This window comes from Homo sapiens, chromosome 14, assembly GCF_000001405.40.
Source record: "Homo sapiens chromosome 14, GRCh38.p14 Primary Assembly".
Taxonomy (NCBI): Eukaryota; Metazoa; Chordata; class Mammalia; order Primates; family Hominidae; genus Homo; species Homo sapiens.
In genome coordinates this window covers 61,013,059-61,029,121 of record NC_000014.9, presented here as the reverse complement: position 1 = coordinate 61,029,121, position 16,063 = coordinate 61,013,059, and the positions used below count along the sequence as shown (strand labels likewise).

The 16,063-nt window shown below is 35.3% G+C and overlaps 1 protein-coding gene across 22 annotated transcripts in view; it reads right to left on the bottom strand.

Annotated features, from left to right (window-relative positions):
* Positions 1–16,063, bottom strand: part of SLC38A6 (solute carrier family 38 member 6) — a 102,489-nt gene that overhangs the window by 54,612 nt on the left and 31,814 nt on the right. For all 22 annotated transcript variants that reach the window (NR_033344.2, XR_007063987.1, XR_007063988.1 and 19 more), the window contains 2 exons: positions 13,166–13,218; positions 9,542–9,581 (listed from right to left, as the gene is read on the bottom strand). Coding sequence is in view for 17 of the 22 variants with exons in the window: in XM_017021022.2 (XP_016876511.1) it covers positions 9,542–9,581; positions 13,166–13,218 (93 nt within the window). In the remaining 5 variants the exon portion in view is untranslated. The remainder of the gene's footprint in view (positions 1–9,541; positions 9,582–13,165; positions 13,219–16,063) is intronic.

Genomic DNA, 16,063 nt, shown 5'->3' with positions numbered 1-16,063 from the left:
TATTACTTATTTATATATCAGGAAACATTTCACTTTCTCCTTACAAAACTTACAAAAGCTAAGAACAAAAATGAAAGTCAAGTTTCAATGGCAAAAATCTGGGGAAAAATTGATTAAAAGGCTCAAATAGTTTAAGAAGAATGTATATTTCTCAATCAACATCATTTGAAAGGAGCTGAACTTCATGATTACAATGCTATGTGACCATTTAACTTGAGGAAAAAAAGGATACATGCTACTTTGCGTGTAAATTTGTATGGAGATAGATAATACTATAGACACAAAAACATACACTCTCAATTTTTTTTAGTAAAATAACATGTATTTATGTCAAAGTAAAATTTAGAACAGTTAAATAATCACTTCTCTGTGATGAAAATATACATATACATATTTTTTCAGTTTACAACGATTTCTTTTTCCCTAGCAGAAGTACAGCTATGTCTCAGTGGGTTGACTAAAATCCACTGAGACATTTCTGCAAAATCTTTTAGTTATGGGGTATTACAACTGATTGTATGTGAAAATGTGTTCTGTATTGTTCATATTCTCGTAAGGAAAAATGCTATCAATTTGGCACAGAACAGAAGGAAGGTTTAGACTAACCTTCTCCATTCAAGGATTTGGAGTTTTTATAATATTTTACCGATTCCAAAGAACTCTACACATATGGTGCAAAGATAAAAATTGTGAACTGAATTTTCTGAAACCGGCCTAGACTTACTTAAATATATCTTGTGAGAGAGACAGAAAAGAAAAAAGACAAAATACTTTGAAAACAAGGAAAGCAGACTTCCTATAAAATGTAATTTATTATCTGCCCATCTTTCTTTCTTGCTTGGATTAATCCAACACCACATGCATTTCTAAAGTTTCAGACATTCATCTCTTTCAGTAATTTTCTATTATTTCTTTTGGACCTTTAGCTGTAGAAAGCTTCAGTGAATATGAGATCCTATTTCTTTCTAATATAATATCTGTCATTCTTTCCAGAATTTCTATTAGCCCCTGGCTAATCATCTGATCACTTTTATCCTTTGTTGTACCCTCAACTCTTTGGTTTTCAAATGGGAGTACTATTTCATTAGATTCCAGTCTGAAGAATCATGTATATTTTAAGAAATATGAACTCACCAAACGTGTTTCTCTCTCAAAGAAGACCTCACATACAAGATACAAATATAATAAAACATGCAAAACATTGCTTCTTTTCTAGAGAATGTTAGTATATATTTTAAGAGTATACAACCACAGAACTTACTATAGGGGAAAACCCACACGGATTAAGCCAGTAAAACAAAGGCCACCACCATTCTATTCACTATGAAAATTATTTTTTTCTTAATCACAAGTAAACTTTCATGTAAGAACTAGCTAGCACTTTAACACATTATATTATATATAATACAGAAAAGAAACAAAAAGATTACCAAATACACATTAAGTTAGGAAATATATCTTAATTAAATTCATACAAAAGAACAATCAGCTCAATAAAATGAACTGGAAAAGTTTTAAAGATATACTATTGATAGGAATGCTCATATTGCCTTTGTTTTTAACTAAAAGGTTTACTAGATCAAATAGCTGTCTGCCACAGTTTTTGTCTTATGTCTTTTATAAATGGCATAAGAAAGTGTTTAAGCACTTATCTTACAGACCAATCATAAGCAAAAATTTGCAAATGATTTTGGGTGACATGGACACCTAGTATAGATTCCTAAAACAAGACACACCATGTTCTACTCTAAATTAATAGCTGCAACTGGGTCATCCACAAGAGCCATGCATATAGTTAAGTGGCCCCAAACCACCAAAGCCAAAATCAGTGCCAGAAGATATACCTTGATGTCAGGTATTCAGCCATTATAAATCACTTAGTTTTAGCACATTAACTAAATAGGTATTCTTTTCTACTTAATTTTAAACTAATATAACTCATTTAATAGAAACTTCTCTGGGAAAAAATAAAACATCTGTCAACTGAAAACACAGAAGTTGAAAGCACTCTTTAAAAACAACATGGAGAAGCAACAGTAATATTAAAAAGTGACTAAAATGGGGTAAAATCTGATTAGGTAATAGCAAGTTGCAAGGTGTTAATATCTGCTGATCTAATTATAAAGTGAAATAAATGAATTGGGCCCGGGAGGTTGAGAGGAGAGATGTTAGAAACACAGAAACAGGGAAGGGACTCTGGGCAGAGATCCATGAAAACAGCTAACATCTTTGTTTTTTAGATGCCTACTGTATGCTTGGTAGTATTCTACACAAGTTATTTCCTCACTTAATCTTTACACAAACCTGTGAGGTACATATTACTTATTTCACAGAATATAAGGAAGCACAAAGAAGTAACTTGCCCAAGCTAGTGATGGTGCAAACAGCCCGCCTGGGTTGAGAAACTCGTTCTATTAACTAGTATGCCATGAGAAAGTGCAGGAGCAAAGTGAAAAAGTAAACCAACAAAACAAAGACAAATAAGGAAAGTCTACCAGAAGTACCACTCTTCAGAATTATTTTTCTTTTTTAAATCAGTATTTAAACAAACTACTTTTGAATGCTGAGATTAACAGTTGACTTCAAAGGAAATGAATATCACAGAGAACATTAGTCAGAAGCTTTAGTAACACTTAGAATTTTCATTTCATCTTGAGATATATTTTCAATGTATTTCATTTTTCAGTATTGGAGCTCCTTTGGTGATGTGATTAGTTCAAAATTCATGGAGTTTCATGATGAGATTCTATTGCATCTACTGCTATGACTCTACTGTATTTACGGCTGTGATTGTAGTTCTGAAGAGGAAGTTTCCTATTCTCACGTATTTGAAATATTAACACTCCACTGAAATCCAAAAAATAAAAATCAGTCTCTGTGCTTCCAAATACTGTATTCTTATGAGTTATTTTTCGCAGCACTCTGAAAATGCTTCCCAAGTTGTCGTTATTAAGCATACAAACTTAAAAAAAACAAACCAACCCTAATTGGAGTTTGGGCCTAAGACATCATTACAGTTTATGAAGATAAGAATCTTTTTTGTTAAACATGTAAAATATATGTATGAGGACAGAATTACTTACAGCTATTTTTAAAACAGAATTAGGTTTTCAGCACTTGGGGGAAGTTCAGCAATTCTTAAAGGATTACTCAGCCCTAAACAAACGGATGTGCTACGGGGAAAAAATAAGTTTGCCTTTCTGTCTCAGAGAGATTCAATTTTATTTCAAACATGTTTTTAGTCATGGATACTAACTGGTTTATTCTATTCAATGTGTCTCATTAATCTGGTGGTCCCACAAAATATCTAAATGCCACTGAAGTTCTATATGCACTCAAATAGTACAGAACACATGCATAAATGAAAATCAAAATATATGGGGGAAAATGCTCCCCCATGACCCTAGAAAAAAATGTATATCTTTGTCTTATCATTTTCAGGATCTTAAATTTGATTAAAAAATGACCAAAATATCTACTGTTCTGAAAATTTTATAATTTTCAATAGAAATTACTATGAAAAATATTTTCAAAACCTTAAAAAAGATACACTACCAGTAAATGTTGTCAAATGAAGTGCTTGTGAAAAAGACTCTCCAAATTTCCTGTACCTCTCCTATTCTAAGGCAGTGCTTTCTAGAATTTCTAGACAAGTCTCAAGAAAGCTGCAGTTTCACCACAGATAAACTGACCAGCAGATGGCGATGTATCTGCGCGCCCAATCCTAGTTTCCCAAGAGACAATACAAACTAGTATATCTGAAACACTCTTAGTACTTTACTAGCCTACCAAAAAGTAAATAAATAAAATGCATGAATGAATATACAGGAAGAAAGCAAATCCAAGTAGTTTCTAGCATCTAATATTGTGAATTTTTCAAATACTGAGAATTTGAGATTTTTATAATTCTCAATTGAAAATGATCTTATTTATACCTTTCTGAGATTTAGAAATGGGGTTACCCGAGTCCATAGATTACCAAACTGAGGTGTTAATAAAGGCTGCAAGAGTAAGGTGTGTGGATTCTGTGCCAGACTGAAACATCTGGGTCATTCTAGCAATTTCAGGAGGTTTCAGTAAGACTACTAATGTTTATGGTTTTCCTTTCACAAAACGTAGTAATGATTAAATTTTTAATCTCCTTTAAAGAACTGGGGCTTTGAAGAATTAAGGAAAGCATATGCTATTCATAGTAATCCTTCATATTTATAAGAGCAAAATAAGAATATAACATCCCCCTAGGAGCTACTCATCTTTCCACATTTTGAATTGGGCAAGTTGTGAAACCAGAAATAACATCAATTGACTTCACTGTTATCATGTGCTTGTAAGAGTTAATAAGACTTTTTCTGGCTTGACTAAGAAGATGATTGGGATGTAGTGTTTGATTTCTAGTGATAATTCTAGCCTACTGAATGGTTTACTTCAGGAGTTCAAATGAATGTGAAACCAACTACTTACCTTAGTTTTTAAGAAAAGAATCACATAATACAACACTGTTACAGGAACTATGTGAAAACTACCTTATACTTACTTTCTACTACAGTTATTAATCTTTTATCTTTAGTTAGGCTGCCAAATTCAAACTCTCTAAGCCAGAATTGTCCCCTATAACAGCATTAAATGTTAAAACTTCCAGACACATCTTTTCTGACTTTGGGTCCCAGTAGCAGTGGCTCTCAACAAATGCTACTCCAGCACCTGAGGAAATGGGCTGCAGAGGGTTACCTCTGGCTCTAGCCAATGTTGAGCCTGTTATTCATTAGTATTGGGAAGATATCAGGAATTGCTTTTAAGTAGTAATTTACTATATGGTTCCCAAATTTCCAAAGCCAAGGATTTCTATAACCTTAGAATAAGAGTGTTAAATCTAGTGTGTTGCATTTTTTTCCATTATAAAATTTAGAGATTTACAGACAGTAGATTTTTTCAATCAATTTGTCAGACCACACTAGAGCCTTGTGACTAATACTTGGTGCCTGATTAATCTTGGGGGAGAAAAACGATTTTCTGTGAAGTTCTAACAGTAGACGCTTTCCTAAAAACTATATGCTCACTTACATATACTGGGCTTTCTCTTCCTGGTCAATCAACTCTCTTTTTGCTCTTGAAGGAGTACTAAGCCAGGTCACTAGCTTTTCCCCCTCTCCCCTCTTAGTCCTTTCTTTCTTCCTATAATAAATGTTATTTACTAAATGTATACTATGTGCTAAGTACTAGGGATGTAAATAAATGAGCACATTAATTTGATTTATGGAATATGGAAATGTGGGAAATAAACTGGGTCTTTGGCGAAAGACACATGAAACAAATATTGATCAAGGGCAATCCATGGTCATTTTGCTTTTAAAGGCCTTCCATTTCAATTTTTTTCATGGATTCACCACAGGAATTGTATCTCATGAAAACTGAGAAGTATTTAAATGTTACAAAGAATAAGAGAGTTAAGAAACATTAAGATATGATTTTCTTAACCTGAAAATAATAGATATTTTACATATATGTGTGTGTGTGTGTGTGTATATATATATATTATTATTATTATTATTATTATTATTTTTGAGACAGTTGCCCAGGTTGGAGTTCAGTGGCGAGATCTTGGCTTACTGCAACCTCCGTCTACCGGGTTTAAACGATTTTCCTGCCTCAGCCACCTGAGTAGCTGGGACTTACAGGCACACAACCCCAAGCCTGGCTAATTTTTTGTATTTTTAGTAGAGACTGGGTTTCACCATGTTGCCCAGGCTGGTCTCAAACTCCTGAGCTCAGGCAATCCTCCCACTTTGGCCTCCCAAAGTGCTAGGCTTACAGGCGTGGGCCTCCACACCCAGCCTATTTCAATATATTGTTAACCCATTTTACATAAATGAGATCTAACTCTCCCCAGTATTTTGAACTTTTAAATTTTTATATAATTCTAAACTAGAAGTCATTCTATGGTCTTTCAAGTTTCTTTTTTTATCACTTACATAGTATATTCAATTGTCTCTTTGAGGCAAAATCTTAGGCTTTTAAGCAGAACTTTAAAAACTGTCCAATTCATTCAACAAATACTACTTATTGAGCTCTTCTCAGAAACTAGGTAAAGTTAGGAAAACAAATAAAAACACATAGTTCCTGTCCCCAAGAAGTTAGAAAATCTTCAACATTTAATCTTTTCACATTTTTCAAACATTTGCTATATCATAGCAGAAAGAATAAAGGCCAACTGAGCAAGGTTTGAATCCAAGCTTCATTATGGGATAAATGTGAGCAAGCTACTTATCTCCACTGCACACTGATCTCTTCTCTATAAAATGAAGATAATATCTATATTGAAGAGTTGTTATAATTAAAGTATCTAGTAGAGTGCTTGACCTAAATAGAATCTATTACATTATTTTTCAGTTTTAATGTAAACAACCACTGCAAAAGTCAGATAATTTATACTAACAAACATTCTTTTAAAAAAAAGTTATCTGAACTACATTATTTGCAGACAGGCACTTAAGATGTGTAAAAATTCAATCTGATTTACACTTAATATAATCTTTTAAATATCCAATATATTTCCAATTAATAAAGAAAATAATCAAAATCCATTTTAATGAAGTAACATTGGTCATTGTACGATTAACTTATTTATTATAATAAAACTGTATATATATATATATACTTATTTAATATAATGACACAGTATATTAAATATCCTCCCAAATAAGTATGTTGTTTGCAAGCATACATGGACTAGAAGTTCCACAGATTCTGTATATATCAATCAAGAAACTACTTTTTAAGGCTAGGGTTCCTAGACTTTAACCTAAGAGGAGGTTCTAAAGGGTAGTCCTAAGAACTGAAGTTCCCTTTTGCTTAGTGACAAAAAATAGCATCCATGAATGCTTTTAGGGCAATAGTTATTGATTTGTTAAAGATACCTAAGAAAGGGCCAAATCATCTTTTGAACCAAGTATAACCCTCGCATTGAACTTTCCTGTAATAAAATACGTTAATACGTTAAAATAATTAATATGCCTCCCAATGTGCCAAATTTGAATTCAAATTTTGGGGTAAGAAGGGACCTTAAACTCCCTGCTTCCCACTCTACCGTCCAACAATTTAACAAAGAGGGAACTGAAGCCAAGACAGTGAGAGTGAGGGATTTCCACAAGACACATGGCTACCCAATGGCAGAGACTGGAGTAGACAGAATTCAAGGTATCTGACTTCCAATCTAGTGTTCTGCTCACAAGAGCAAGCTTCCAATTCTATTATAATAAAGAAATGGTTTATGTACATCTGGCTACGAAAAAAGACAGAAAAAACTCTGAAAATATGTATTTGGTTATTACTGACTGGGCACTTAATACACTTTTAACCAATGTGAAGAAAATCATGAGGATATCATTCTAAAAACTAAATAAGCATTACTAGCTTTTCTAAATTTAAGGGACATTAAAAACTGCTGTGACCACTCTAAATCACCTTTTTAAAAAAAAGTTCTAAAATAAGCAAGCAAGCAAACCAACAAAATTAAGAGTTGGGAAAACTCATGATTTATCCACCTCCAAATGCAAGAATCCTTTCTAGAATTCTGGCAACTGACCAACCAGCTCTGTTTGAATGTTTTCAGGGCTAAGGAGCATTTTCAAAGGGATGTAGGCCATCCTCATTATCACACAGCTTAGTTACAAGGGTACTCCGAATAAGAAAACCCAAAACAGCTTCTCTGTAGATTTCTATACATTAGCACCAGTTCTGCCCTCTGGAACAATACTTGAATTAGTCTAGTGTCTTTTTTATATTTCATGTTCAGTCTTTCAAATACCTGAAGCTAGATGCCGGTCTAGCATTTCCCTTTTCTCTTCTTGATAAATATATCTAGAATATTTAAGGTACTTAGAAAGAGATTATACAAATCATTTCAGCTCTATTCTGCTCAACAAGTTTATCAATTCCCAGGTGTAATAGGTGCTGGGAGTACAAAGAGAAATGAGGCATACTTTTGAGCTAAAGGAACTTAACAATATAGTGGGGTACAGGAGCATACATACAGAGAAGTTAAATCTAGTAGCAGCCAAGTGCTACAGTATAGCCATCTCCAATAACAGTTATAAACAAGATTAGAGAACAAGGAAGGAATCAAGGTGAAAGGGACAAAGAATACAACAGTGGGCCTTGTGCCAGGGTCACAAATTTGGATCTAAATTGCTGAACTGAACAGTCTACATAAACTGTTAAACAATGGTTCAATCTAACCTAAACAATATGTGATAGTTCTTAGAATCTATACAGAGAGGATAAAGAGGGATTAAAAATATAAAAATATACATCATATTCAGAAACATTATCAGTGCACAGTTAAGCAATACTTAGTTGCTAAATAAATTATTCCAAAATAGATCTTAAAATCAATGACTATAATAAATTCATAAATGAAGAGACTGGTTTTCTTGACTTTCTACTGTGAAGTGTGAAGTAGTGTGTGTTAGGAGAAAATTATTTGGTATGGCATGCAAGAAAGCATTCTTTTTATTCATATTTTTTCATGAAAATTCAAAGAATTAAAACAGGATTCTAAAACAATGGCAGCACAATTCACTGGTGGAATGTCAATTTTTCCTTAACCAAAAAAACCTATTAACGATGGAATTTGATTGAACAATACTTAAAGTGATATAGCTCAGACCTCTTGATTATGAGAGCTGAAGTTTATTAAAACTGTCATCTTTGAATTAAACTGTTACATGTAAAAAATAAGATTAAAATGTCCTCTGACTATACAATCCTGTATAAGATCCAAAGTACATGTCAAACTTTTCTGTGTATTTTCCTTTAAGAGCATTTATTTAGCACTCCAGTCAATGATAAAAGAAAACGAAGATATTGTTCAGCACTACGCAACTTCTTTACAACATATACACACATGATACCCATATTTTGGATTTAAATGTTTAATACATTTACTCAGTAACTGTCTATAATTAACAGTAGTTTTATTTCTACATAGTTCTCAATATTGAGATCATTTCTAGAATTGGTTATTAATAGGAACAAGATACAGGATAAATGTGAGAATGCTTATTTATCTCAGATTTATTTATGTTTTAAACCACTTGGTCATTTTAAATTCTTGGTTACAAGAGGACACTGTTGTCCATACTTGCTTGTTCACAGCCCACGGAACACTAATCCCTCTAAAGTAGTATCTGCCAATAGGGTGATTAGAACAAAAGTAGAGGGAAAATATTTTAAAATCACCAGGAGAGCTTTTCCAGACTGTATCCTACCTTCAGAATCACAGAAAGCCAATGTTTTAGAGGTGTGTTGCAGACCTAATAACACGACTGCAATCAGGGTTTAGCTCAAACTGAATTTAGAAGCTACTGTCACAAGTGCTGCTAAAAAGGATCCAAAAAAAAAAAGAGTAAAGAGGCCAACACACAGGCTTCTGAAGATAGCTATGTCTACAGAAGTTCCCAGCTAGATCTGTAGTAAGATAACAATTCAAAGGACATTATTGCCATCACATTTATGTATAAACAGTGCACTTGCAATTGCTTACCTCCAATATTCTGAATTATTATGGTGCCTGCCACCACCAACTGTAAAAGAACAGAAATATTCAGAAGATAGAAGGGGAAACAATATAAAAGGATCAGTATTTTATTAAAATCCAGTAACTATTACTAAAAAAGCAGATGCAGAAGTTGTGAGGAGAAACTAAAAAGAAATCTGCCAGTCATTTGAAATACATAAAATTAATAATCATCACATTAAAAAGTATTTCTTTAATAGTTCCAAAGTTACTATAAAGAAGTTTTTGAAATTTTTCTTGGCAGTCACTTTTAAATTGTTAAAAGTGTTAAAAGCTAGTAATCGATGATTATCAAGTATAAAAATTAAAAGTGTGGGAGTGGTGTCTCATTCCCTTCTTGCTGGTTTTATCACACTGCTTAAATAAGTAGAAAAAGACCGGCTGGGTGTGCTATGCCAATGCTATATTGCCTAAAAGGAAATGATATAAGTTTTCTGACTATATCAGCATCCCAGACTTTGAGCATCCCAGTCCCAGAGATTAATAAAGTCTAGAGCCCAATTACTCTCAAACCCTGAAAATATAGGCAAAATGTTCCAAACTCAATAATGTGAATTAAGCTGAATATAAGACAATGGGAGTTGGCAAGAACTGTAGGATATTGGAGAATTCCTCCCCCTTCAATGGGGCAGGTGCTACTCAGCTCTGGCCAGTTGATAATATGTGAGAATGTGGATCCAATGTAGCCAGATCTGATTTTTCAAAGAAAGTCAGAAATGAAATTTTTTCATACTTTAATGATGCTTAGTTGGTAATCAGTTAAAAATAAAAAATATTTGAGCCATATAAAATGTGCCTGAGGACTAAATTCAGTCTGTAGGCTTGTTAGCTTATCATCTTTGATGAGATTCCTGGGGAACTCAAGGTAATCAGATATGCTTAGAGGAAACAGTAAAACACTGTGCTTCCATGTGGGCCTTTCAATCACTCAAGTCTTAATGGATCGGAACCCCAACGTATGCCTGGAGCTGACTAGCTGTCTAGAATCATTCAGTTCTACATGAATTGGGAACAGATAATCTTTCATGCCCATCTTTGTTAGGAATTCTATCAGTGGCACAGCATTTGCCTACACTGAAAACAATCTAAGTTATTAGGACCTAGGAGCCTTGAGGTTTGCAGAGGAGGGCTAATGATATGAAAATCTGGCAAAGTGTCTTTGGAGATGTGGTGATTGCCACTTGAACGCTCTCCAGAAAAAATTCTGCATTTCAGCCTATGTAAAACTTAGTTCCAAAATGTCGAAGTTATTTGTGAAAAGACTATTTTGAACTTGTGTATACTATCTTCAGTACAAATGATACCTACTGTCAGTAGTAGGTATACATGAAATTTGGTTTTATTTTCAATTAATATATTGCAAAAAACAGTAATATTAACTTATTGATGATTATTCTTTCATTCTTTGGCTGAATTTAAGCATTTAATATCTTGAAAGCTAGAATATCTATCTATCTACCCACCTGCCTACCTACTTATATTTTTAATGCCTAGCACAGTACATGGTACAAAGTATTTGATCAATAAATATTTGTCTGGTGAATAAATACCAATTTATAGACATTGAAATAAATCTTTAACAAGTTCAAAACATTTCAAAAAATTTCTTTATCATAATATTATCCCATATTATAACTATATAACATCTGGATAGAAGGAAATGGTTAAGTTTCAACCCAACTGTGGAAGTGTGGAGAAAATTTAAACAAGCAACCAAACAACAACTCCTCATTCAGAGTATGCTTTGTCTAGTGTTCCTGCCTACTATGAACTTTTTTGGTGCATGTATTAAAATGACAACACAACTACTCTAAGAGGTTTAGGAAAAGAAGACTCTCAGCAGTCCCTACTCTTTAAACTTTGCTGCTATACAAGCAACGCAGGAAATATGAACATGAAATGACAGTGATGTCAGTGTTGATACTTAGAGTTATGTTTATAGGTTATGTTATATTAATTGTGGAATTTTCTCATACAAAAAATATTTTCTTCTTTGTTTAAACTAGATGGAGGAAACTGATCCCTGGCTACACCAAACATCCTAATCCTCTAGAACAGAAACATTGCTACTAAGGAAGATTAACAAAACCTTTTACCCTCAAGTAACATATTCTGTTTTGTTTAAGTTTCAGGTGACTAAGGTCCAAGCCATGATGCTATATAGTATATGATTTAAGCATTCCTTTTTGTACTTTAAAAACAAAGTTAGGGCCGGGCGCGGTGGCTAACGCTGTAATCCCAGCACGTTGGGAGGCCGAGGCAGGTGGATCACCTGAGGTCGGGAGGCCCAGACCAGCCTGACCAACATAGAGAAATCTGTCTCTACTAAAAATACAAAATTAGCCAGGCCTGGTGACACATGCCTGTAATCCTAGCTACTTAGGAGGCTGAGGCAGGAGAATCGCTTGAACCAGGGAGGCGGAGGTTGTGGTGAGCTGAGATCATGCCATTTCACTCCAGCCTGGGCAACAAGAGCGAAACTCTGTCTGAAAAAACAAAAACAAAAAACTCCACCAAAGTTAACTGGAATGTAAATACAGGTTTTCTTTCCATTGTATAGCTATATATATTTCCTCCAGACTCACTTTCAGAAGTTAGTTTAGCCAGTTACAGATAGAGTATCCTTTTAGAATAAAAATAAAACAAAAAATGGTAAGTATGTGAAGTAATGCAAATATTAATTAGGTCAATTTAGCCATTCTACAATGTTTACATATTTCAAAATGACATGTTGTCCATAATAAATATATACAATTTGTATTTGTCAATCGAAAACATAAAAACACAAACAACAGATTTACAAACAAAAGAATTCCTGTTTGGAGCCAAAATGAATATGAATTTTAGAAGTATAGTAGTTCTTCAGAAATTAAAAAATATATATACTATAGCACTAACAGTAACGTTCAACTCCTGATTACTGGTGGAAGACAATTATTTTTCTCTACCTATTAAACTAGTGTAGTATCCCTATTGCAAGTGGGTGCCCCATAAATACTGCTGTTATTTCTCTTATTCTGAGTAAGAAAAGCAGTAGATCTAGAGTTCTAGGATGTGGTACTGGCTTTATATAATAGTTGACAAATAGGTCCCTTAATTTCTCTGGTCCTTAATTTCCTCACCTATAAATGAGAGGATAGCTAGATAATCTTGTAGCAATGTTCAATTCTTAAGTGATATGATCTTCTGATTACTGGTTTTGTAAATAGCCATGCTACAATTTGAATTCGATGTTGCTTTTCTTTTCTTGTCTTTATGAGGGTTTACTCATATGAGTACATAATCAAAATTAATACAACTTAAAACAGGTCATCGTTACTCTTTTAAAGTCATTCAAGTCATTGTGCTACTTTATTAGGATGAAAAATATTAAAAGATTCAAGCATTGAATTAAATGTATTGATGCATTTTTAGGAAGGACACAAAGACTTCTCTTTCTTTGCCTGCTCCTATCATTCTCTCTTTTCTCACTTTAGTTTCCTTTTATTCCTCTAATGTCTTCCTCTTGTATATACTTGTCTCTTTTAACTTGAAACAAAAGGAAAAATGCCACTTTGGGTTTTGGACACAATGAGGAGGAAAAAAAATTACCTTTCCAGGTAATCCAAATGCAAAGAGTCCAAGATCTTCATAAGATGTTACAGCTGTTAAGAGAAATTACAATGTTCACTTTTACACAAAACTATTTATGTGTCAGGTCCTAAAGAGAAGAGCAGGTCCTACTACAAACTAAATACAGTATAATTCTTATGATCCAGGCCAATCAGGACTAAACACAAAATGAGAAAATTCTCCCTAACATCCTCAAATAAAGGCAACACTAAAAAGGATGGTTGGCTTTAATCAGCTGTTTTATGTAAAAATCTCTGGTAATTTTCATCAAATCTTTCATTTCCATCCCAAAACATAAGCCACAATACCTATGATTTTCAGATGTCTTTGTAAAACATGTCTTTTTCTCAGTAGTGACGGTTTTTACTTTTTAAGAAAATCACCAAGGATTCTTTTATTATGTTTCTCTATCTCATTTCTGAAAGATTCTTTCTCTCAAGCTGTACATATTAAAAGTTATTTCCGGACACAGAAGATGGGTGATTTCTGCATTTCCAACTGAGGTACCGGGTTCATCTCACTGGGGAGTGTTGGACAGTGGGTGCAGGACAGTGGGTGCAGTGAACCGAGCATGAGCCGAAGCAGGGTGAGGCATCACCTCACCTGGGAAGTGCAAGGGGTCAGGGAATTCCCTTTCCTAGTCAAAGAAAGGGATGACAGCCGGCACCTGGAAAATCGGGTCACTCCCACCCTAATACTGCGCTTTTCCAATGGTCTTAGCAAATGGTACACCAGGAGATTATATCCCGCACCTGGCTCGGAGGGTCCTATGCCCACGGAGCCTCGCTCATTGCTAGCACAGCAGTCTGAGATCAAACTGCAAGGCTGCAGCGAGGCTGGGGGATGGGCGCTGCCATTGCCGAGGCTTCAATAGGTAAAGAAAGTGGACTGGAAGCTCGAACTGGGTGGAGCCCACCACAGCTCAAGGAGCCCTGCGTGCCTCTGTAGACTCCACCTCTAGGGGCAGGGCATAGCCAAACAAAAGGCAGAGAAACCTGTCCAGACTTAAATGTCTCTGTCTGACAGCTTTGATGAGAGTAGTGGTTCTCCCAGCACGCAGCTGGAGATCTGAGAAGGGACAGAATGCCTCCTCAAGTGGGTCCCTGACCCCCGAGGAGCCTAACTGGGAGGCACCCCCCTGTAGGGGCAGACTGACACCTCACACGGCCGGGTACTCCTCTGAGACAAAACTTCCAGAGGAACGATCAGGCAGCAACATTTGCTGTTCACCAATATCCGCTGTTCTGCAGCCTCTGCTGCTGATACCCAGACAAAAAGGGTCTGGAGTGGACTTCCAGTAAACTCCAACAGACCTGCAGCTGAGGGTCCTAACTGTTAGAAGGAAAACTAACAAACAGAAAGGACATCCACACCAAAACCCCACCTGTACGTCACCATCATCAAAGACCAAAGGTAGATAAAACAACAAAGATGGGGAAAAAACAGAGCAGAAAAACTGGAAACTCTAAAAATCAGAGCACCTCTGTTCCTCCAAAGGAAAGCAGCTCCTCACCATCAATGGAACAAAGCTGGATGGAGAATGACTTTGACGAGTTGAGAGAAGAAGGCTTCAGAAGATCAAACTACTCCAAGCTAAAGGAGGAAGTTCGAACCCATGGCAAAGAAGTTAAAAACCTTGAAAAAAAATTAGACGAATGGCTAACTAGAATAACCAATGCAGAGAAGTCCCTAAAGGACCTGATGGAGCTGAAAACCACGGCACGAGAACTACGTGATGAATGCACAAGCCTCAGTAGCCGATTCAATCAACTGGAAGAAAGGCTATCAGTGATGAAAGATCAAATGAATGAAATGAAGCGAGAAGAGAAGTTTAGAGAAAAAAGAATAAAAAGAAATGAACAAAGCCTCCAAGAAATATGGGACTATGTGAAAAGACCAAATCTACGTCTGATTGGTGTACCTGAAAGTGATAGGGAGAATGGAACTAAGTTGGAAAACACTCTGCAGCATATTATCCAGGAGAACTTCCCCAGCCTAGCAAGGCAGGCCAACATTCACATTCAGGAAATACAGAGAACGCCACTAACATACTCCACGAGAAGAGCAACTCCAAAACATATAATTGTCAGATTCACCAAAGTTGAAATGAAGGAAAAAATGTTAAGGGCAGCCAGAGAGAAAGTCGGGTTACCCACAATGGGAAGCCCATCAGACTAACAGCTGATCTCTTGGCAGAAACTTCACAAGCCAGAAGACATTGGGGGCCAATATTCAACATTCTTAAAGAAAAGAATTTTCAACCCAGAATTTAATATCCAGCCAAACTAAGCTTCATAAGTGAAGGAGAAATAAAATCCTTTACAGACAAGCAAATGCTGAGAGATTTTGTCATCACCAGACCCGCCCTACAAGAGCTCCTGAAGGAAGCACTAAACATGGAAAGGAACAACCAGTACCAGTCACTGCAAAAACATGCCAAATTGTGAAGACCATCAAGGCTAGGAAGAAACTGCATCAACTAACGAGCAAAATAACCAGCTAACATCATAACGACAGGATCAAATTCACACATAACAATACTAACCTTAAATGTATATGGGCTAAATACTCCAATTAAAAGACACAGACTGGCAAATTGGATAAAGAGTCAAGACCCATCAGTGTGCTGTATTCAGCAGACCCATCTCATGTGCAGAGACACACATAGGCTCAAAATAAAGGGATGGAGGAAGATCTACCAAGCAAACGGAAAACAAAAAAAGGCAGGGGTTGCAATCCTAGTCTCTGATAAAATAGACTTTAAACCAACAAAGATAAAAAGAGACAAAGAAGGCCATTACATAATGGTAAAGGGATCAATTCAACAAGAAGAGCTAACTATCCTAAATATATATGCACCCAATACAGGAGCACCCA